The following is a 21,485-nucleotide window of genomic DNA, read 5'->3' as shown; positions in this document are numbered from 1 at the left end:
TTAGGTTGGGAAGAATGTGCAGTAGAGGGGTGTGTGGAGGACATGGGAACTTGCAGACAAGGTGGGGATAGTGGCTACTTTGGGGAATCTGGAGGAGCTGGGCGTGGTCATTGTGCCTGCCGGTGGGGAGTGGACAGGATGGCCTTCTGCCACCCCTCTGTGGCCATTGCCCTCCCCAGTCTTCTTAGATGCATTTCAGCAGGATGGGCAGGATGGGACACTGAGCACCAAGGAGGAGACTGAAGCCTTGACAAAGGCAGGAAATTGAGCAGAGGAGGATGGGGTGAAACTGCTGATCACATTGTCGCAGAGGCTGAGTTTGAGGTGATAGTGGACTCCTGTGTAGGTTTCTTGAGGAATTAAAGAAGGGAGGAGGAAGAAAACTTGTAATACATGTTTGTGAGTTAACCATGTTCCCATCTGCAAAGAAAAAAAGCTTCAGTTTTGGAGCCAGACAGATGTGGGTTTATAGTTATTTAATAAGCTTCCAAAGCCTCAATTTCTTTGTCTGTAAAATGGAATAGTAATAGGGCTGTTTTGTGTGACAGGTATATTACAGAGCCTGGAACATACGGCTCAGCAAATGGTTGATCCTCAACCCTCCACACCCCTAGAAAGTAATTGCATCTCTCACAAGAGGACAGGCCTGGAGGCACGGATCTAACCACACAGAGGTCAACGGCAGAGGCTGGGGGAGTGGGAGGTCCACAGGGAGGGGGACGGAGTACAAAGAATGAAGCCTTGGGATTGAATTTGGAGATGGCTCACCATCTGGGGGAAGAGGCAAGGAGTCCAGAAAGCCACCAGTAGAGAAGGAGGAGAACCAGGACTTGCCTCTGAGTCCTGGAATCCACATGCAGGTGTGAATATTGACAAGAATCCTCACTAGTAATAATAATCCTAATGATAACAGGAAGCACCTGAAACACAAGCTCGACAGGGTCCCAGAGTCAGTCTGGGGATAAGCTGCCAGAATCCTCAGGGTGGCCCACCTGGGCCAGGGTGCGTTCTCCCGTGCCGTTTCCCATCTGCCTGACCTCAGTTCCTGGCACTCAGGCCCCTGATGGTCTCCCTCTGAGCCCAGGGCTCACTGTGGTGCCCTCTGTAGCCCTGACTTTGACAACCCCTCCCAGGTGGAGGGTCCCTCCTGAAGGGTTGCCACACAGCTTTCCCAGAGCTGAGGAGGGACCTTCCTGGCAGGTGTGTGGGTGGGAGGGCACATAGATTTTCTTCACCGTTTTTGGGAGAATTCATTCAGCCTTGGAAGTGAACTCCTTTAGCCCAATCCAGGCCCCACTTCTGGCTTGCCTCTGGCCTGGGAAGCGTCCTCCTGTCAGTCCCTTCAGATGCCCCCTGGTCTGCCCCCTTCTTCTGCCCAGATGCCATCTGCAGCCTTGTGGCTCTTCCCTGCAGTCACTCACCTGAACTGGCTCCTGTGCCTCCCCAAACACTGGGGTTGTGGCTCCAAGTCCCTGTCCCAGCACCGTCCCCACCTCACCTCAGCCCTTTGCCAAGGCTGGTCCGTGAAACTCCCCTACCTCTCTCTCCTTGTCCTCTTTCTTCAGAAAGGCAGACTGACCTTACCCTGTCCTCTTATCCCAGTCTCTTGCCTGCTCCCAGACAGTGTTTGTTATCCTCACCCTGTCTTGGGAGTATCCTGTTATCCTCCCATTTCCATCAGACTAGGTTTACCCCTGAGGGCCGGGGCTGTGTCTCTTCCCTTCTCAACATCTACTTTCTTGAGAACTCAGAATGCCTCTCTGCGCTGACCTGTCTTAAAATTAATGTGGCGGACAAAGTTTGTATTAGAGACTGCTCCCTCAGCTTAGGGAGGAGTCTAATGACAACAGCTAATGCCTGTGGTTACCTCCAGGACATGAGGTGGAAAATGCCACGTGTGTTCTCCCAGATCCTTCTCAGAGGTGCATGTGAACATTGCCCTCCCCAAGCGCGCTCATCACCTGGTGAGCAGAGTCAGCCAGGGCCTGGGGAACAGCCTCACAGGAGCTCTGGGCCTCCCAGGCATAGGGCGTGGGCCATGTCAGGCTCAGCTCTGCAGGATAGGTCACAGTTTAACAGACTCTGTTGAAAGCTCTTTCCTGTCCCGCATGCAGGCTTCTCACTCACAGTTTACTAAGGACTTAAAGGTAGGCCATGTTTGTGATCACTGCCATGAAAACATTGAGCAACAGATCCTCGGTCAGGAGCCTAACCTGCTATTACAACGTTGTTCCTGTGGGGAAATCTGCTTCTGTCTTTTCAATAAACATTAGCCGTCCCGAGACTGTAGCACACAGTCTGAGAAAGTGAGGAATGAGGATGGGAATAATCTCCTCCCCAGTCCCCCACCACCTCTCTACCTATTCACCTAAGACCTGCATGCCAATAATACCCAAAATTTATACAGCCAGGCCAGCCCTTTCTCCTGCATTCCACACTCACATACCTGCTTAGATGTTTAACAGATGTCTCAAATGTAGCATGTCCCACATACTGCCTCTACCCCACCTATTGTCTTCCCTGTCTCAGCTGATGGGGACTCCGTCCTTGTTTAACTCCTTTTTCTCTCTCACCACTCTCCCACCACATCCACTGGGTCACGAGGCTGAGCAATATATTGGGTTGAATCATATGAAAATTTCATTTTTTAAGTGTAAAAATAGTCAAACACAGGTAATTTCATATGATTCAATCTAACAATTTAAATGTAAGATGACTTGAGGAAGAAAAGTCATCTCTTCAGCTGCCCTGACTCCACCTCCTATAAGGACAACTGGGACATGCCTGTAACCTAGTAGATGTTGGCAGAGCTCCTTCAACATGAACTTGGGCATGGAGGGACTGCAAGACAAGAGGGCCTCCCACAGCACTCTCAGCCCACACTGGTCGGGGGCCATGGTGTCCTGGTCAGCTTCTCTACCACCTGGACTGAATCCTGCCTGCCCAGCTCCAGAAAGTCCTGAAACATTCAGGAGCCAAGGTTCAGAATGGCAGGGAGTGATGGAACTGCCTCAGCAACCATGGAGAACTGTCCTTGACCCCAACCCCTCTGAATCCAACCCACCTCATGCCTAGTCCTGCAGCATTCAGAGCCCCATATAGATTGTGGAGGTGAGGCCCCTGATGCTGTCTGAGGAGCCTTTCCAAGCAACAGGGGCAATGACTTGGCCAGGCAGGCAGGGTCAGACACAGAAGGGCAGTGCATCAGTCATTCCAAAGTTGCTGGCTTCATAGATACGGTGATTGTATCTATTGGCTTTGTCTTCAGTGCAAATCCAGAAGCAAACCCTTCTTTCCTGTTACCTCCCAGCTCACAGCCACCCTCATCTCTTGCCTGGATTACGGCAGCAGTGTCCTGACTGATTTCCCTGCTTCCTCTCTCTCACCTTCAGTTCATTCTCAGCAGAGAAGCCAGAGGAATAGTTAAATCATTCTTCTGCTCAAACCCCTGAAATGGCTTCCCAAGATCAAGTTCCTTACACTAGTGCCCCAGGCCATCCATGTCACCTCTCTGACCTAATTGATCACTCTTCTTCCTGGCTCTCTCCCCTGAGCATCACTGGCTCTTCATTGTTTCTTGAACACCTTAGGGTCCTTGTTCTGGCTGTTCTCTTTGCCCAGAATGGCTCTCCTCTGGATTTCCCAATGGCTTAATTCTCACGTCCTTCAAATCTTTGCTCAGTTTTCTCCCTCTTAGTGATGTCTACCACGGCCACCTCGTTTAAGATTGCAGCACCCACCTGCCTGCGCTCCTCATCGCCCTTATCCCCCCCTCCTACACTGCTTTTTTCCCTTTAATCTGTAGCACTTATCCTCTTCCAACATGCTGTAACATTTATTTGTTACGATGTTTGCTAATTGACTTGTCCTCGCCTTTCCCCACACTGCAAGCTCCACAAGGAGGGGCACAAGGCAAGGGTCTTTGTCTGCTTTATTCACTAATGTACTTAAGCTCCTAAAAAGTGCCAGGCATATGGCACACACTCAATAAATATTGTTTCCAAGAAAGAAAGGGGATGGAGGAGACAGGCAAACTGCAGCAGGAAGAGCTAACCCCCATCTCCAGGAGGTGAGACTTTAGTAAGGAGCTGCCTATCTCCTCCTGGGTGGCTAAGAGGTCCCTAAGAGGTGCAGAAGTTTGTCTGAACCCAGCCGACTGATTATACTGCCTGGAAGAGGAGGTGCAGATGTGGAATCTCTTGGCCTGAGAGTTTTGCCTTCCTCAGTGGAGGAGATATCTGGAGAATGCCCATTTTGTCTAGCTGCATGTTCCCCACCCTCTGAGTTAACCACTTCGTTAAAAAGTGTGTTTTGGCGATGTGCTTACTGAGTGTCACCAGTAGGACTGTGTGTTAAACCTGATCCTTCTAGGAACATGGAGCCTTCCAAGTGAGATGATTAATCTCATTTAGAAAAATTAAAGAACAATGCACACAACTGTTGATTCAGGCTCATGCAAAGCTGGGAGAGTTGATGCTATGAGACCACTTGAGGAAAAGGCTTCTGAGAGGAGGAGTGCCTGGGGCTGAGCCTGGAAGTGATGGCTGGAGACCAAGATGGATAAAGAAGGATATTCTCAGCTGGGAGGCAGAGGGGGAAGCCTGGTTAAAGGGGCAGAGTACATGAGTATGTCAGGTGCAAGGGACAGAGAAGAGCCGAGTCTGTCTGGAATCGAGGGTGCTGAGCTGGCGCTGCCAATAGCTGAGTCATCTCCATCTTAAGGCCTCTGAGGGCCCAGGTTGGCTGAGAGGGAAAGAAGTCTTCCAGCTGCTATGCTCCCCAGCAGGGGTGGGCATAGGGACAATCACGGTATCTATGAAGCCAGCAACTTTGGAATGACTGATGCACTGCCCTTCTGTGTCTGACCATGCCTGCCTGGCCAAGTCACTGCCCCTGTTGCTTGGAAAGGCTCCTCAGACAGCATCAGGGGCCTCACTTCCACAATCTATATGGGGCTCTGAATGCTGCAGGACTAGGCATGAGGTGGGTTGGATTCAGAGGGGTTGGGGTCAAGGACAGTTCTCCATGGTTGCTGAGGCAGTTCCATCACTCCCTGCCATTCTGAACCTTGGCTCCTGAATGTTTCAGGACTTTCTGGAGCTGGGCAGGCAGGATTCAGTCCAGGTGGTAGAGAAGCTGACCAGGACACCATGGCCCCCGACCAGTGTGGGCTGAGAGTGCTGTGGGAGGCCCTCTTGTCTTGCAGTCCCTCCATGCCCAGGTTCATGTTGAAGGAGCTCTGCCAACATCTACTAGGTTACAGGCATGTCCCAGTTGTCCTTATAGGAGGTGGAGTCAGGGCAGCTGAAGAGATGACTTTTCTTCCTCAAGTCATCTTACATTTAAATTGTTAGATTGAATCATATGAAATTACCTGTGTTTGACTATTTTTACACTTAAAAAATGAAATTTTCATATGATTCAACCCAATATATTGCTCAGCCTCCAAGAATTTGTTCCTTTTAAAGCCCCTCTTCCCTGATAATTAAGGATCAATTAACTTCTGACTTCACCCTAAAACTAACTCTTTCTTTTTTTTTTTTGAGATGGAGTTTCACTCTTGTTGCCCAGGCTGGAGTGCAATGGCGTGATCTTGGCTCAACACAACCTCCGCCTCCTGGTTTCAAGTGATTCTCCTGCCTCAACCTCCCAAGTAGCTGGGATTACAGGCATGTGCCACCATGCCTGGCTAATTTTGTATTTTTAGTAGAGATGGGGTTTCTCCAGGTTGGTCAGGCTGGTCTTGAACTCCTGACCTCAGGTAATCCACCTGCCTCGGCCTCCCAAAGTGCTGGGGTTACAGGCGTGAGCCACCACGCCCAGCCAAAACTAACTCTTTCTGTATTTCCAGGTTTGGTAAATGGTACCTCCATCTGCCTGGTTACTCATGTCAGAGACCTCAGTGTCATCCTTGACCCCTCCCTCAACCAAGGATACTAAGTCTTGTCTATTCTCTTCTAGCTCCTAAATATGCACTGAAGCCATCCACTTGTCTCCCTCTCTCTCCCCACCTTCATTCCAAGCTATGATGGTTTTTTCCTAGGATTCCTGCAATAACTTCATTTTCCTGCCTTCACTCTCGGCACCTTCAATCCATTCTCCATGCAGCTGCCAGCGTGATCTTTTAAAACGTGAGTCTGATCATGTCATTTCCTGTCTTAAAGCTCTTCAGTGGTCTGCTTTTACATTTATAATTAACTTTTAAATTCTCCATGTCCTATCAGACCCTGCATGATCTGACCTCTGCCGTCCTCTCCTCCCAGAGTCCCTCCTGCTCATTGCCCTCTGGCCCTGGGGACCTTCCCCCAGATGCTTACACAGGCAGAGATCTTTCTGGAAGGGCTTTCATGGATGCTCATTCCCAGCATGGCAGCTCCTCCACTCTGCTTTGCTGACTCCTCCTCTCCCCACTGGCCTCAGCTTGACTCTCCTTCCTCAGGGAGGCCCTTCCCTCTGTACTCCCGCCAGCTATATTTTGATCCCTTGTTATTCTGGCTCTTGGTTTTCAGCTATTTTCTTCTATAGAGATTAGCACAGTTTTAATTAAACATTTGTGTACACTTGTACAGTGTCTGTTTCTGCCTGACAAGTCTGCAAGATTCATGAATGCAGAGACTCGCCTGTCATGCCCACAGCTCTATTCCTAGTGTGTCTGGCATGGAGTGGGTACTCACTAAAGACGTGCTGAGAGAATGAGTGCTGTGGACCCGCGAATCAGTTCTCCAGGAAATCAGAGCCCGCTGTCCTGAGTGTGACTCCAGACCCACACTGCTGTGCTCCTTCTGAGCTGCAGCGAGAGCTGGGGGTTTGCTCTTAGTCATGGGGGAGGTGTCAGTTTCAGGGGGTGGGAGGGAATTATGATGGAAAAAGTCCAGGGGGAGGGGTCCGCATATTGAGGCCCACCCATAACATTTGTAATTGTAAGTTGAGCTAACACATTATTACGTAAAATATGTTCTATTCTCCTAGCTTGACAAATATACCTTCACAATGACCTGGAAGGCCAGGTTTGGATTCAGAAATCTTGGACTCTTTGGGGTTTCATACCAGAACTCCCAGCATAGGAAGAACTGGCTCCCTTGCCCAGGCCTTAAATCAGATCCTTTCTCTTCTCACCTGCAGCTCCAGCCCACACTGTGAAGAGCCTTGTGCCCACAGCTGTGCACATCCTGGGCTTCCTCCACACCTTGTCCATAAACTGCCCCTCAGCTACCTTCAGACCCAGGATACAGGTAGGCATTTTAGTCCATCTTCAGAATTCCCATCTGTATTTCTGAAGTGTGATCTAAAAGGGGGAGAGGCAGCTACGGGTGAATGCACCGTTGTCTCCTTGCCTATGGAGGAGAGCCAGAGCTGCCTTTCTGTAGTACAGGCCAGGGCAGCAGCCTTCTTGCCTTGGTGTAGGGGTGATATTGTCTGTGCTTGTGGCTTCCTGGGGTAATCAGGTAGGGAATAGACCGACAGGCATCCTGTTAGGCTTGTCCTTTCTAGACGCAGCCTCCAGAAGAATAAATGCTCCATTAGCAGCTGGCTGGAGCTGGCTGAGGCTCTGGCTGGTGACTCTGGCCTCTGGTGTAGACTTCCCTCAGGTGAGTGCATGGATGAGAGCTCTACCTTCTCCTGACTGCCCAGGCCTCAGGACAACAGGTAAGCCAAGAGGCTCAGGCCTTCCCCTGCACTTCTTGTCCTTCTGCTGGGAGTGGCCAGGCCTGTGGTCAGTCCTTCCACCATCTGCCTCTCTCATGTCCTCATGCGGAGGCATCCCTACGTGTGGGGATCTGTGCTCAGTGCTCAGGAGGCATCCAGCACCCTGGGTGTCTGTGGATTGTTAGGGATTTTCTGGGACTGTTAGGCTGTCAGGTTGTTATCAATGAGGGGCAGGAGGGATCCCAGGGTATTTCTGAGCATCGAAGAGAGAGGTCCAGGCTACCAACTGGTTGTGTCTTCTTTGCTGGGGGGTGGGAGCGGGGGTAGTGGCTCCCTGGTCTGGGAGCAGGACTGCAGTGAGTATGCTGGAGCTCTGAGCTCCTGCAGTTAAGCCAACTGAAGGTGGGCGTATGGTTGAGTGGTTAACTGCAGGTGGGCATATGGTTGAGTGGGTCAGCCAGCAGACAGAGCTCCGACCTCTTCATTTTCTCTCTGGTTAGACAGAGTTTAAATGGCTTTACCTGACTTTGGAAGACTCCTGAGGAGTCTAAGCAGGTCCAGCCAGTGGGTACAGGCTTGAAGACCAACAGGGTGGGCTGGCAGATGAGACAGTATCAGCATCTCAGTCCAGGCGTCCCAGCCAGGACCACCCTAACCACCACCAGGAGGATGGAACCAGCCCCTAGCCCTTGTGAGTGGCTCTCCCTTTTCTGTACCATCTCAAGGGAAACCTGAAGACAAGCTACCAGCATGAGATGTCCTGGTGTTCAGGGAACACAGTTAAACAAAAGTGTGATGCTGCTGTGGGAAAGCCTGCCCCAGGACACCACCATACCATGCTGTCTTCAGTTCCTGCCAGCTGAAGTTTTATTCCCAGGCAATGCTTTCTCCTTTTACCGTTTCCCGTGGGGACCTGACTGGCTGTCTTTGGGGACTGAGGTCTTACAGGCCAGGAGGTGCCTTTGAGCTCATGCTAGGGGCTGTGTGCCTGTGAACTCACTGGAATCCTTTGTTGACACATTGCTTTCTTACCAGTCTGTGAGCTCTTTGAGGGCAGGGCTTGTGATGCTACTATTTAGTAATTCCTGTATCCCAGTTGGTGCTGACACATAGTAGGTGCATAGTAAGTGCTTACTGAATGAATGGATGGGTGCATTTCCTGTTCTACAGATACCTGTTCAAACTTTGTTTTGTACTTTATTTTGTTAACCCAGTTAATGCTTCTGACAAGAAGTTCTACAGCTCCTCCCCACCCCATCAAAGAGGAGGGCCCTTGGCCTCAAATAGGCCAATCAGGCTCTGTTGGTGGGGAGTTGAATCTTCAGTGAGCAACTGGGGAAGAGAAAACAGAACAGAACTATTTTCGGAGGCCCCGAGGCCTGCATCCTCAAGGCTACCTGGCTTTGTCTTTTCTGAGGCTCGGTCAACATTTTCCTTGGTTCTCTGAGTTACTCACATCTTTCTAATACATTTCCTCTTTTACTTTAGTTAAAACCAGAGTTGGTTTCTGTTGCTTGCCTCCAAAGAACCCTGACTGATATAAGTGTTTTCCTGTTATTTTTAAATCTTCTAAAGTATTGCTCTGAGATGGTTTCTGCTTAAGCAGATTCATTGAAACAGTTTACTTCATATTTGGATTTTTCCATTTGTCAGAACATTCTTCCTTGGTAGTGTGGTGCAGTAGAAGGGACTGGACTGATTTAGATAATCTAAAGGTAATTCTGACTGTGCCACTAATTATGTAATTTCAGAGGAGTAACATTCTCTTTGGATTTCAGTTTCCACATGAGAAATAAAAAAACTTGAACTGAGTAACCACAGATTTCCTTCCAGCTTTAAGATCCTATTATTCATATGAGTCAATATCTGCCTTTTAGTGATATGCTCCATTGGCCCCAGTTACATGGTCTGGGCTTATGTGATAACCCTTCAAATATTTGAGAACCTATGCTCCTGCGAGTGTTTTGTTCTAGGCCCAACATAACCAGTTTCTGTAATCATTTCTCATATGGTAAGGTTTTTAGACTTTTCACCATTCTGGTCATTCTCTTCCAGACACTCCAGTTTTTCAGTGTCTTCCTGAAAGTGTGGCTTCGAGACCTGGACCTGGACTAGTCATGCTGTGGGAGTCTCCCCACTACTTACCCGTGTGCTCAGCCTGCCCCTCCTGGCACATAATGTTGACTAAGGCACAGCCCAAGGGGAGGCAGCCACCATAACTTTCCTAGATCTAGGGATAGTTATTTTTTGTCATTTTAGAGGCCCTTCCTTCAGGCTGCATGCAGAACAGATGCAGGTAGCCATGAAGCCAAATCTGGAAGGAGATGATGCTTCCTCTGAAGATCAGTAAGTAACCAAGAGTGATTAACTGAACAGGTGCTAGTTCTTAATACACATGGAAGAAAGATTTGCTACAGGTGTCATTAATGTTTGCAGCAGTTTTTTTTTTTTTTTTTAATTGAGACGGAGTCTCACTCTGTTGCCCGGGCTGAAGTGCAGTGGCACAATCTCAGCTCATGCAGCAGTTTTTTTAAAAATGAGGCACTGAATGTTCATGTCTCCATTGATGAGAAAAATGTCCTCTCTAACCCTTTTCTTATGCTATTCCCCTTTCCTATTCTCTCTGATATCATGTTTCATGAGCCCTTTGCCCTAGCAGCTCTTGTATTTGTCTTTTGTACAGGAGAACAGATGCAAAAACTATTGCTCAAGGAAAATAAAGTGAAAACGAGGAAAAGCAAAAGAAGATCTGGAGAGGGCTCTCACCTGACCACAAGCATCCTGGAGCAATGAGGTAGAGGGTGTTCTGGGAGGAGTCTGATATCTGGACTCTCGAGGGGTTCTTTCTGTCATTGTAACTCCAACAAAGGGGCATTCCGACGAAGTCCCATATGATGTGGCCCCAGGCCATCTCTCTGTACTCTTGTCCTTCCCCTCTCTCTCCCTTGTTTGGATCCAGCCCCTCTGGCCTCCACTCTCTTCTTTGCAAACACCAACCATGCTGCCATTTTAGGGCCGTTGCATTTTCTGGTCTCTTTGTCTGGAACACTCTGTCACTGCATGCTCACTCCTCCACTTCACTGGGCCTCTGTTCAAATGTCACCCCATTGAGGGTGTCATCTGATTGCTTTATCTAAGACAGACCCTGTCTCCCCAACAGATTGTTCTCTAGCCCTTTACTCTGCCTTGTCTTTAACAGAAACTAACAACATCTGACATATGCTTACTTGTTTATTTATATTATCCAGACCATAAACTCTCAAAGGCAAGGGTTTCGCTTGACTACTGATTCCCAAGTGCCAAGAAATGTACCCAGCACATGCAGCGCCCTCAATCAATATTTGTTGTGGTGTGACTTACAAAGCATCAGTCTCAATGCTCATTAGCACAAAATTGGTCTCACAGAAGCACTTTGTGTTTTTTTGGTGGAGGGTTAATTAGTCCACTAGTTGACAAGTGAGTCATTAAGGATGGGAACTTTATTAGAGCAGTGTGGATCTGTTCAACAAGGCCCTGGTGCACCACGCTACAAACCACTGTCGAAATGAGGTTGCTAAGAGTCACCTTGTGGAGGGAGAGCTGCAGGTCCCATCTCATCCAGAGCTGCTTTGATCTGAGGTGGGGCCCTGGAGATGAACGAAAGAAAGGTGGGGAGTGCTGTGTATTTTTTCCCCACAAATCCACCAGGGCTCATTGTCAGATCCTGGGCTTTCCTTTCCACATCATTTTTAGGGACTGAGGCCAGTTTTGCATGATTCAGTGACCAGGCATGTGGCCTGACTGTAGGTGGCAGGTGGGGATGGTGCAAGCTGACAGGTTGAGTGGCCATGGACCCTGTTCAGGTAATCTTGGGGGAAGGTGATAGGAGAGAAGTGGGTGTGGGAAAGGGATGAGAATTTGATAAAGCCAGGTTACCAACAGGGAACCTCTGAGCAGGCCAGGCAGGGAGGATCTGGGAACAATCGAGTGGAAGAGTGGTGATGTGGATCTGGAGGCCAGCTGTGCTGATCCTTTGTCCAAGGTGAAGTGATTGCCCAGGAACTGGGGAGAAGAGGGAAGGTCCTTGGACAGGGCTGACATCCTAGGTGGGGAGATTGAAGCCACCCTGGGAAAATAGTACTTCAAACCCACCCCTGTTTCTTCAATACCTCTTTCCTCGCTGTTATCAAGACTGGATTGAGGCCCCAGAAAAAATCCAGTTACACCTGGGTGAGAGAAACTGTGAACCTTATCAGCTAATAATCCCCGAAGGTAAGTTTAGCTCCTTAAGTGTTTTTCCAGTAGTGATCAATACTCCAGAGCTTTTCTAGACAGAATCATTCAGGGGCAGAATGTATTTTCCTAAGATGGCCACAATAAAAAGTTTGATGGAGTCAGAGTGACCTCTACAGTCCTGCTGTTGGGCTGTGGGGTCTTTGTCCCCTCCCCTTGAACTAAGGTAAGTCTTCTGCATTTGCATTTGAAAATGAATGTGGCAGATTCTAGAGTGCCTCAGTACCCTTTCTCTCCATAATGTTCCTTCTGCATAGCGTTTTATGGTTCTTCACTCTCTCAGTTTCAGGCAGGAAGACTCATCCTGAGCTGAGCTGCTTTTCTTGAAGTTGTGCAAGAACGTCCTGTTGGCTGGGGCAAATTCAGTATTTCTTTTCCTGGCCACTGTGCTGGAGCGTGAGGAAAGACTCTCCACCCTCACTCCCAGATCCTGCAGGAGGCGTGAGAGCGGATGGAGATGGTGAGGATGTCTATTAATATGGTGTTTCCTGCAAAACGGTGCCCATCTCAACCATGGGTTGTCAACCATCCTCGGTGTCTACAACTGCAATTTACCTTTGAGGGCCCATGAACTCTGATTACCTGAAAGTCCTTAGGCCAGAAAGAGAAACCCCTGTCCCCCACCTCTCACTTTCACCTATTTCTAGACCTTTTCTTACAGCAATGCCTTGGCCCTCAGGAAGCATCAGATCTCAAACTGCAGGGTCTGGGGCTGAAGCTGATGCTGGCATGGGTGACTCAGAGTTCCTCTATTAGTTCAAATATGTAATATCTTTTAGAGCCTAGGACTCAGGCTGGAGGCAATTCCTTGGTGCCAGTTGGTTAATACTTTATGAATAGTGGTGGGGGAGGGAATGCCTTGGACTATTAATGTCCCCATGGATCTGGATCCTGGAGAACTTCCAGTGTCCTGGATGGAATGTTCTGCTTGGCTCATCTTGCCCAGAGAAGAGCCAGGATATGAGAAGATGGGAGAGGGAAGGGGGAGGTGTGAAACGTGCTGGTGCTTCCTGTCCTCGTGGTGTGATGGCTGCCCAGGCTGCTCCTTCGAGGCAGGACAGGATTCCCATGGGAGATATGAGGACCATGGTGATTTCCAGGCACCAGTTATGTCCCAGAGCATCGTGTGCCTGTGCAGTGGGGTTACTGATAGTCCAGGCATCAGTTCATATTGTCCTTTATGGCAGATCCTGCACAAGGGGGTTCTCTGTCTCTGGACCCACTCTGTCAGCATGGACATCCTTTTTCTTTTTCCCTGGTAAGGACATCAGAAAGAAAGTTACCCCTCCAGTGTTTGGAGTCTTGGAATCCTTGGCCTGCCTGCAGGCCTCTGAATCCTCAGTGTGTTAGCCCAAGGTCACCTTAGGTAAAGGAACATTTCTCCTGGTCTTCCAACACCCTGGAAAGGGAGGCTCTTCAAGAATAGGAAATTCTTCCTAGTATCTAACCTTGGCCTGCAACTATGCCATACATTTAATTGTAGAAGGTATGGAAAGTTAGGACTGTGGTGGACCCAGTTAAATCACTGGACAGAAGCCATGAGGCAGAGCCAGAACCAGCTTCTGGACTCCCTGCATGGAGCTTTCTACTATCCCAGGTTGTTGGGTCCCTTCTCAGTGGCCAAAGATGCTATTTTATGAGCCTTGAGGACATGACACTAAGTGAAAAAAGCCTGGCCAAAGGGCCACATAGTGTATAGTTCTATTTATATGAAATGTCCAGGAAAGACAAAAGCATAGAGGCAGAAAGCAGACTAGTGCTGTGGGAGGAATGGGGGATTTGGGAGGTGATGGCTAAGGGGTTATGGGGTTTTGGGGGAGGTAATAGAAATGTTTTAAAATTGGTTGTGAAGGTGGATGCCCAACTCTGCGAATACACTAAAAGGCATCGAATTGTATACTTTAAATAGGTGAATTGTATGCTATGTGAATTATATCTCAATAAAGGTATTTTTTCCCTGCTGTTTTCCTGGCTTCCACTTTCTTATCACAAATCCTGGGGACTCTTGGGGCAGGGGCCAGGGGCCAGGGGCCAGGGCAATACCCTCCCACAGCAGATGGGGCCTTCAGGTGGAGTGCAGGCTCAGCTGTTCCCTCTTGCCCTTCTCTCTGCTGGAGAGAATGAACAGGAATCAGCATTGCCTGTCCCCATGCTTAGAGGCTGGACCCAGACCCTGCCTTCTGGGACACACCCACCATAGTGAGGGCTCAGTGACTCCTCCTTGCTGACTCCCTTTCTCCACCTTGGGACAAGCCAGCTCCGACAGCCTGGCATGGAAATGACCACGGAGCCCTGGTCAGTCGGGTAGTTCTTTCAGGGGCAGGGCATCCTGCGGCAGAGGAAGGGACTGAGCTGTATGTAGAGCTTAGAACCAGGTCTGATCTTGGAGTTTCCCCTTCCTTCCTCTTCTCAAGAAGGCAACCCTATCAGCCACTGGCCAGGGAGTAGCTTATCTTAGGGAGCCATTTTGTAGAAATCTCAGGCAAGAAGGGGTTCGGAGTCATTTAGACTCCCACTCAACAATGTTTGTCGATACCAGCTATGTTTCAGGAAGAGTTGTGTTCTGGGAACCACTGACATGCCCAGTGTTGACCCAGCATCCTCCTTTTAAGGGCTCAGAATTCAGTGGGGAAGTAAATGTAAGTAGTTCTCTGATTGGGGTAAGCAATGGAGATTGAAGAAAGGATGTTAATCAGCCTGAGTATTGGGGCAATCAGGGAAGGCTTTCTGGAGCAAGCACACCTTGAAGACTGAGTATGAGATAGCCACATGAAGGGGGGAGGCTGGGTGGGAAATCATGGAAAGTGTGTTCCAGGCAGAGGGAATACAATGTACAAAGGTCTGCAGATGGATGTGAGAGAACAGTTCATTTGGAGAACCACATAAGAGACTTCAAGTAGTTGAGTCTGGTTGTAAACCAAGATATGAGCTAGAGAAGGCCAAGAGATGAGGTGGGAGAGGTAGGAAGGGGCAGACCATCTGAAGCCTAAATAGGAGGAGGTCCAAGACCCCCTCCTCCCCAGGAACTCCACTTCCTCCACCTACCTCCTGCACCTGCAGGACTCCTACCTGAGCAGGGGCACCAGTGCCAGGCAGAGAAGAGAGTAACCAGCATCAGGAGCAGCGAGACAGGCACCACCACCAGCAGCACATCTTTGTAGGAGGCCTTCCCTGGTGCTGAACATGGAGGGGTGGGGTTAGAGGTGGACTTGATGCTTCATAAGCCCTCAACCACTGACTGCTGGCCCTTAGCATACCTGCCTCATGATGACAGCTATCCCAGGGCGTGACTGTGGCCAAGTCCCAGCTGACAGGGTTGGAGACAATGCAGGAATAGGCCACATCTCTGTCTCCTGGTCCCAGGGAAATGCTCAGCACCTGTCCGTCTGTGAAGAGGCTGTGTGGTTCCATACCAAAGTCCATGGTTGTCTCCCGTCGCCAGCTATAGGTTATTTCGCTGATGTTGGGGGCCCAACAGGACAAGAAAACCTGGCAGGTCTTGGAGGGCTGAGCATCCCTTTCTACAGCAATGAACACTTGTACCACGGGCCTGGGCACTGCATCTGGGAAAGAAAAGTACAGCTGGTATGGGTCTCAGGGATGCTGGGCAGGGCCCACATCTCTGGCTCTGGGATCTACCCAGGGTTAGATGCCACCTCTGGCTAGGCCTCTCTTGTTCCAAAATCTTGTCTGGCTTTCCACTGCCCACAGGACAGAAGCTGAATTCCTTAGCTTGATATTCAAAACCTTTCAGGAAACGATTCATGCCCATCTCTCCAGCTGTACCTCCTGCTGCTTCTCCCTGCTCATCCTAATTAATTTGCAGTTTTCCCAAACATGTCATGCTCTTGAATATCTTTCATGCTTTCACATAATTCATCTGCGCACACAGATGCCTTTCCCTTCTTGTCCTCCTAGAAAACTTCTACCCATCCTTCAAGGCCCAGCTTGAACACATTGCTTAATGCCTTGACTGTGAAGCCTTCCCAGGCATGGCTCTGAGCTCTCCAAGCACTCTATCTCTTTTTGTAGTATTTCTCTCACAATATGTCAGTCAGTCAACAAGAGATGACAAGCATTTATTAAGTCAGGCAAGAAAACAAACACATTCCTAGCCTTCTGGAGCTTACAGTTTGGTGAGAAAGACAAATACAAAATGATTATGAATAATTAATTAAATAATTATGAGGGTGCAAAATGCTGTGAAGGAGGGGCCCAGAGGTGGGGGCTCTGTCTTGTTAGCTTAGTAAACTTAGCTCTGTAGTGCTGGCAAATAGTGGGTGCTCGATATCTGGTCACTGAACAAACTGATATCCTGGTGTCCTAGCCATGGATTCCCCTTTCTATACAGGTTGATGAGTAAATCCTGAGTCTCAGTGGAAATGAGGCCAGTGGGAGAGCATTCTGGTGACAACAGGAGGGCTCAGTCTCTGACAGCATTCCAAAGTCAAGCAGAGAAAAACCTCGTTAATGCCAGTTCAGTCTGGTGGGATTTGTGATATGAAAGAGAAATGATTTGCTGGGCACACTAATAGTATAAACAAAGATTACAGGGGGGATATTTACATCACTTAAGAGGACAAGCTGCTTCCAAACACGATCAAGCACAGTAGAAACACCCATTGACATTTCTAGTAACTGATCTGCTAATTCAAATCGTTCTTATCTATTGTCAAAGCAGAACTCCTAAGGACGGCTGCTTGGCAGCTTCGTGCAATTAGTTCTAATCACGCTATGTATTTGGAAGCAATAAAACAGCAATTTCCTTAAAATCTGTAATTCAGCTGCTGAGAACAAGGCATTTTAGAGCTTAGTGGTGTGGGTGCTGCATGTATTATCACATTCAATGTCCTCATTTCACATGTGCGGCAGCTGAGACTCAGATCAGAGGAGGGGCTCCAGGGCTGCCTGTATGGTGGGGTAGGTTATTCACTACACAAGGACATTGGGCTAAGGGGGGTCACAGGGTAACAGGTGGCAGGGGGTGGGGGGTGCTGAAATCCAGCCAGCACTCTGCTTGCCAAGATGAGGCTCAGGGCTGCGTGCATCCAGAAAGGCACCTTGCAATTGCATCGGCACCCTGAGTGGCTCGCCCAAGGACAGCCAGTTAGCTGTCTCGGGGGGATTCAAGACATCTCCCCAATTTGCTTACAATCTTTATCTCCCTCATGGCTACCCTCTTCCCAGCTGCTACCTCTGCTTTCCATTCTTAAATCTGGACTCCCCTCTCTTCCACTCTATCTAAATTTCTAAGGTTTTACTGAAACAGTGATTTAGGGTCACCCATGCCTCTTTTCTAGCCCATTAGGTAGATAAATGAGAGCTGAAAGCCACTCTTTCTTGACCAGAAGACAAATGATGAAGGTGGTGGAGGTGGCTGTGGTGGAGGTGGAGGTGGAGTTGTTGGGAAACAAGGCCCACGCAGCCCCCAGTCCATGCAGCCAACCGAGGTGCTGAATGTAGCTGCGCGAATGGCTCTGCAGACCCATGCGAAGCAGAAGTCGCACCCAGCTGGGCCTGCCAACCCACGGAATTATGAGAAGTAAACATCGTTGTTGTTTTCAGTCAGTAAGTTTTGGGATGGTTTGTTTTGCAATGATGAATGACTGAGAGAACCCATGAATCATATATAGTTAAGATCTCTCTAAGAAGCCCTTTTAAGAAATGTGTAAATTCTATACTTTTAATTACAGTTTCATTATAATTTGATTTTTAAATAAACCCATTATGTCATAGTTTAGTATGGTACATCATTTTTTTTCCTTTAGACTAATGACACATAGTCTACACAGACTACATAGACTACATAGACTAGTGGCACATCTTATAGTCTATGATGATCCTTTAGAACTGAGGAAGCACAGGCCAGGCTCTGTCCTGGATGCCACTGCAAATGCCACTGCATTTCATCCTGTGGGTACTCTACATGGTAATATTACAATGCCCATTTACAAAGGAGAAAGGTGAAGGCCAGGGAGGCTAAGCATTGTGTCCAAGGCCACTGAGCCAAGAAAAGACTGAGCTAGAGTTCAGGCAAGCACTGTGAAATGGCAAAGCCTGGCTGCTGCAGCCAGGAGGAATTTTCTTAGACGTGACTGCCAGGGAGCAGCTGTTCCCTGAGTCGGCAACATGGTCAGAGACCAGAGCTTTCTGGAACCCAGCTCTCCCTGGCTGCTATGACTCAGGATGCTCGTCTGGTGCTTTGTGGGGGAAGAGGGCCAGGCAGCCAGTGTCAGACACACTCACCGTACACCTTGAGCTGGAGGGTCTGGGTCCAGGGCTGGCCCCTTGTGTCCACCATCAACACGGAGAAGTTGCCGCTGTCTCCAGACTCCAGCGGCCCGAGCTCCAGGCTGAGGTTGCTGTGTAGCTGGGCTCGGCCCAGGAAGCGGGAATGGTACAGAGTCTCCAGGGAGCCTCGGAAAAACGTGGCCAGGAGCTCTTCTGAAGGCCAGAGAGATCGCCAGATAGCCTCACGGACTTGGAAGCCAGGGGGACGCGCTGCCACCAGCAGCACCGAGCCCCCGACTTTGCTCAGCACTTGGGCACCAGTAACTGTAATGGGAAGTAGGGCTGAAAGAACAGAGCCCCTGGTCACTCTGCCTGCCCCACACTCCTCATCCTTCTTTGCATGCATCTGAGCTGCTATAGGGTGAATTGGGGCCCCTCCACTGACATTCCCTCCACTCAAGTTGAGGTTGCACTGTGCTAGGTACCAGGGATAAAACATATGGAAGATAACCCCAGTCTCTGCATTCATGGAACTTACAGAGGAAGCCAGACATTCAAGAAATCAATAAAAATGAATTCTGTTAAATACCATGAAGGGAAAAATGAGATGCCCTGGGAGAACACAGGTAGGGTGACAGGGGATCTCACCCAGCCTTGATGGGCTCAGAAAACAAATTGTTAAGCTGAGCCTTGAAGAGGAATGGGAATCAGCCAGGCCAAGCCGAGGGCGGCCTGGAGCAGGATAGGGAAGTGTCACCGGCAGAGGGCACAGTACTGACAAAGGCCTGGAGGGGGAGAGTTGGTGCCCAGGGGAACTGAGAGTAGTTCTCTGTGTGAGGAGTAGGAAATTACACTGCAGAGTTGGTAGGAGTCAGATCATGCAGAGACCTGAAAGCAATACTGGAGTTTGGGCTTTATCTGTAGAGCAATGGGGCGTCTCAGGTAGGTTTTAAGCAGGAGCGTAACAGGATTAGATGCATGGTTAGAAAGATCACTCCAGCAGGGATGTGGAGAATGCACTGGAGGTGGGCAGGACTTAGGCTGTTCATGTTAGTCCAGTGGAGAAGTGACGGCAACTTGAATTGAGGAAGGGAGCAACCGGGATGGGAAGAAGTGGGAGGAATTGAGAAACACGAAGATGGTGTGTAATCAGTAGGATTTGGTAATAGATTAGCTCTGGGGAGTGAAGGAGAAAAAGGAGTCGAGGACGGCTCCCAGGTCCTTGGGATCCACTGGATGTTATTCTCTGTGATCCAGAACAGGAGGAGAAACAGACAGGGGGTGAGAAAGCAAGATGCTGTTTTGGGGGACTATATTTGAGTCAGACGTGTATGGGAGACGCTTCTCCTTGAAGTGCCCCCCTGACTCCTTTGCTGACTAATTTCTGCCCACTCTTGTAGCATCACTGCCTCCTCCGACCTCCCCTATCCCTCATAGGTAATGTAACCAAGAGAGGTTACATATTCTCTCTTGTGTTCTCACAGTGGCCTGGGGCCACCATGCTGACTACCCTTATCCCTCTATTCTTATTGCCTGTTTATGAGTCAGCATCTCCCACTAGACCGTGAGCTCTTTCTCCCCATCGTTTGCTTCCAGTGCCCACCACTGTTTAAGAACAGACTGTGGGAGAAGCCTAGTAAATGGTATTGAATAAATGACCTACCCTGCTGAGGACTGACCCTATGCCTGTCGCTGGCACAGGGTGTAGGGAAGAATAAGAGGTGATGAAGTTTTGGTCAATGAGACATGATCTGGATGGTTGCTCAGTCGGCCATGATAATTCCGGTCCCCCTCTGCCTCACTGTCCTCCAGGCCCAACAACCTCCTCTCACACTGGAGATGACTTCAGTGTTAATGCAGAGCAGGAATGTAACACACAAAGAGAATTGCACTGGATGTCAGCCAAGACCTAGCTGCTCCTACCTGCTCCTCCTGGTGCTGCCACAGATCAGCTGTGTGCCCTTCCACACATCACCCTGCCCCAGGCTTCAGTACCACTGAAAAATAAGGGGTCTGTACCAGGTCAGTCACACAGATCTTTGATCATTAAGGGCCATTTGAAAAATTATTTTTGGGCTGGGTGTGGTGGCTCATGCCTGTAATTCCAGCACTTTGGGAGGCTGAGGAGGGCGGATCACTTGAGGTCAGGAGTTTGAGACCAGCCTGGTCAACATGATGAAACCCTGTCTCTACTAAAAATACAAACATTAGCCGGGTTTAGTGGCAGTGACCTGTAATCCCAGCTACTCAGGAGGCTGAGACAGGAGAATCGCTTGAACCCAGGAGGCAGAGGTTACAGTGAGCTGAGATGCACCATTGCATTCCAGCCTGGGTGACAGAGCAAGACTCCGTCTCAAAGAAAAAAAAAAAAGGCAAATTATTTTTGTCTCACCAAACAGACCAAGGCCTTTTTTGAGGTTAAGGTGTGATTTCCTGCACATGTTTAGAAATATTGAAGAAATCTGCAGGCTTTGGAGCTCTCAGGGCCAGGAACTCAGGCAAGGAGATGAAACAAAGCAACCCAAAGTCCCTATGAGCCTCTGATGTAAACAATATCATCTTAATCTTTGCTGCACCCCATAAACCCTCATCCATGGCCCGGCAGTGTTGACCCATGTCATGTTGGCTGCTTGTTGACCAAGGAAGGGAACTCAGGCATCAGATGGATAGAGGGATCGCCCGGTGTGGAGGAGACCCCGTGTATCAGCCATCCCAACATCACACCACCGTCGGCCACCCCTAAGTCCACGTGGGCCACATTTAGCCTCTCTCATCCCTACTTAGTACTTGCCTCCCCTTATAAAGGCCTGTAGGGAGGGACCTCAGCTCCCCCACAGGCTGTTGAAAACACACTCTGCTGATTGTGGGGAACCCTGCTCTGCCCTGCCCTCTGCTACTCTCCTCAAACTCTGCAGAGTTTCTGCATGCTAACACTGCCGGGTCCTCACCATTCTCACAGCCGACTTTCTCTCCAAACCAGCAGTATCACCCACTGGCTCCGTTTTTACTGCTCTGGGCCACAAAACAGCTCATGTCTCACAGATAAGAATACCCCTCAAGCTGCCACCTCCTCCCTCCCAGGACCCTGCATCTCTTTGTATCTGCCTAGCTTAAAATGTTGCCCAAGAGCTTGTTCTAGTCTTTCCTACCCACCCTCAGCTTCTGGGTTCTCACCCAGGTCGAGGGATCCCTGCCCAGACGTCTGGCATAGGCAGCTGGGGAGGGGCCTTCAGCTCTCCGAGGACAGGCTATCTGCCTGCCCCACTTACCTTCCCAGAGAAGCAGACTCCACAGGGGCCTCATGACCATCTTTCTCTGGAGAGGCAGGCAAACTC

At 49.4% G+C, this 21,485-nt stretch overlaps 1 protein-coding gene and 1 long non-coding RNA gene across 15 annotated transcripts in view, besides 2 other annotated features; one reads left to right on the top strand and one right to left on the bottom strand.

Annotated features, from left to right (window-relative positions):
* SNHG28 (small nucleolar RNA host gene 28) overlaps positions 1-13,880 on the top strand; it is a 20,560-nt gene extending 6,680 nt beyond the window's left edge. For 2 of the 4 annotated variants that reach the window (NR_147123.1, NR_147122.1), the window contains exons 2-4: positions 7,123-7,232; positions 10,331-10,441; positions 12,203-13,880. This is a non-coding gene — a long non-coding RNA (small nucleolar RNA host gene 28). Of the gene's footprint in view, positions 1-7,122; positions 7,233-7,491; positions 7,648-10,330; positions 10,442-12,202 lie in introns of all 4 variants that reach the window. The other 2 variants (NR_147125.1, NR_147124.1) reach the window with 2 other exon arrangements.
* Positions 1,495-1,995: an enhancer, noted in NCBI's record as "H3K4me1 hESC enhancer chr1:159816153-159816653 (GRCh37/hg19 assembly coordinates)". NCBI's record gives its function as "activates a minimal SCP1, AML or CMV promoter by ChIP-STARR-seq in naive H9 embryonic stem cells {active_cell/tissue: H9 hESC(naive)}" and the evidence as "EXISTENCE:reporter gene assay evidence [ECO:0000049][PMID:30033119]".
* Positions 1,996-2,496: an enhancer, noted in NCBI's record as "H3K4me1 hESC enhancer chr1:159815652-159816152 (GRCh37/hg19 assembly coordinates)". NCBI's record gives its function as "activates a minimal SCP1, AML or CMV promoter by ChIP-STARR-seq in naive and primed H9 embryonic stem cells {active_cell/tissue: H9 hESC(naive and primed)}" and the evidence as "EXISTENCE:reporter gene assay evidence [ECO:0000049][PMID:30033119]".
* Positions 10,866-21,485, bottom strand: SLAMF8 (SLAM family member 8). Of its 11 annotated transcripts, XM_017001844.3 has the most exons (6): positions 21,420-21,485; positions 18,166-18,492; positions 15,177-15,482; positions 14,989-15,096; positions 14,115-14,248; positions 11,109-14,030 (listed from the first exon to the last, which is right to left on the bottom strand). In XM_017001844.3, the coding sequence occupies exons 1-5, from the start codon at positions 21,457-21,459 to the stop codon at positions 14,127-14,129; spliced, it is 903 nt and encodes a 300-aa protein (XP_016857333.1). In that variant the 5' UTR covers positions 21,460-21,485; the 3' UTR covers positions 11,109-14,030; positions 14,115-14,126. The 11 variants fall into 11 exon arrangements, with proteins under 11 accessions (XP_016857334.1, XP_011508077.1, NP_064510.1 ...); XM_017001845.3 differs by lacking the exon at positions 14,115-14,248 and having other exon boundaries at positions 10,866-13,174; positions 14,965-15,096; XM_011509775.3 differs by lacking the exon at positions 14,115-14,248 and having other exon boundaries at positions 10,866-11,273; positions 14,965-15,096.

This window comes from Homo sapiens, chromosome 1 (assembly GCF_000001405.40).
Source record: "Homo sapiens chromosome 1, GRCh38.p14 Primary Assembly".
Classification (NCBI taxonomy): domain Eukaryota; kingdom Metazoa; phylum Chordata; class Mammalia; order Primates; family Hominidae; genus Homo; species Homo sapiens.
Note: the sequence above shows the minus strand (reverse complement) of the source record. Positions and strands in the feature narration are given on the sequence as shown.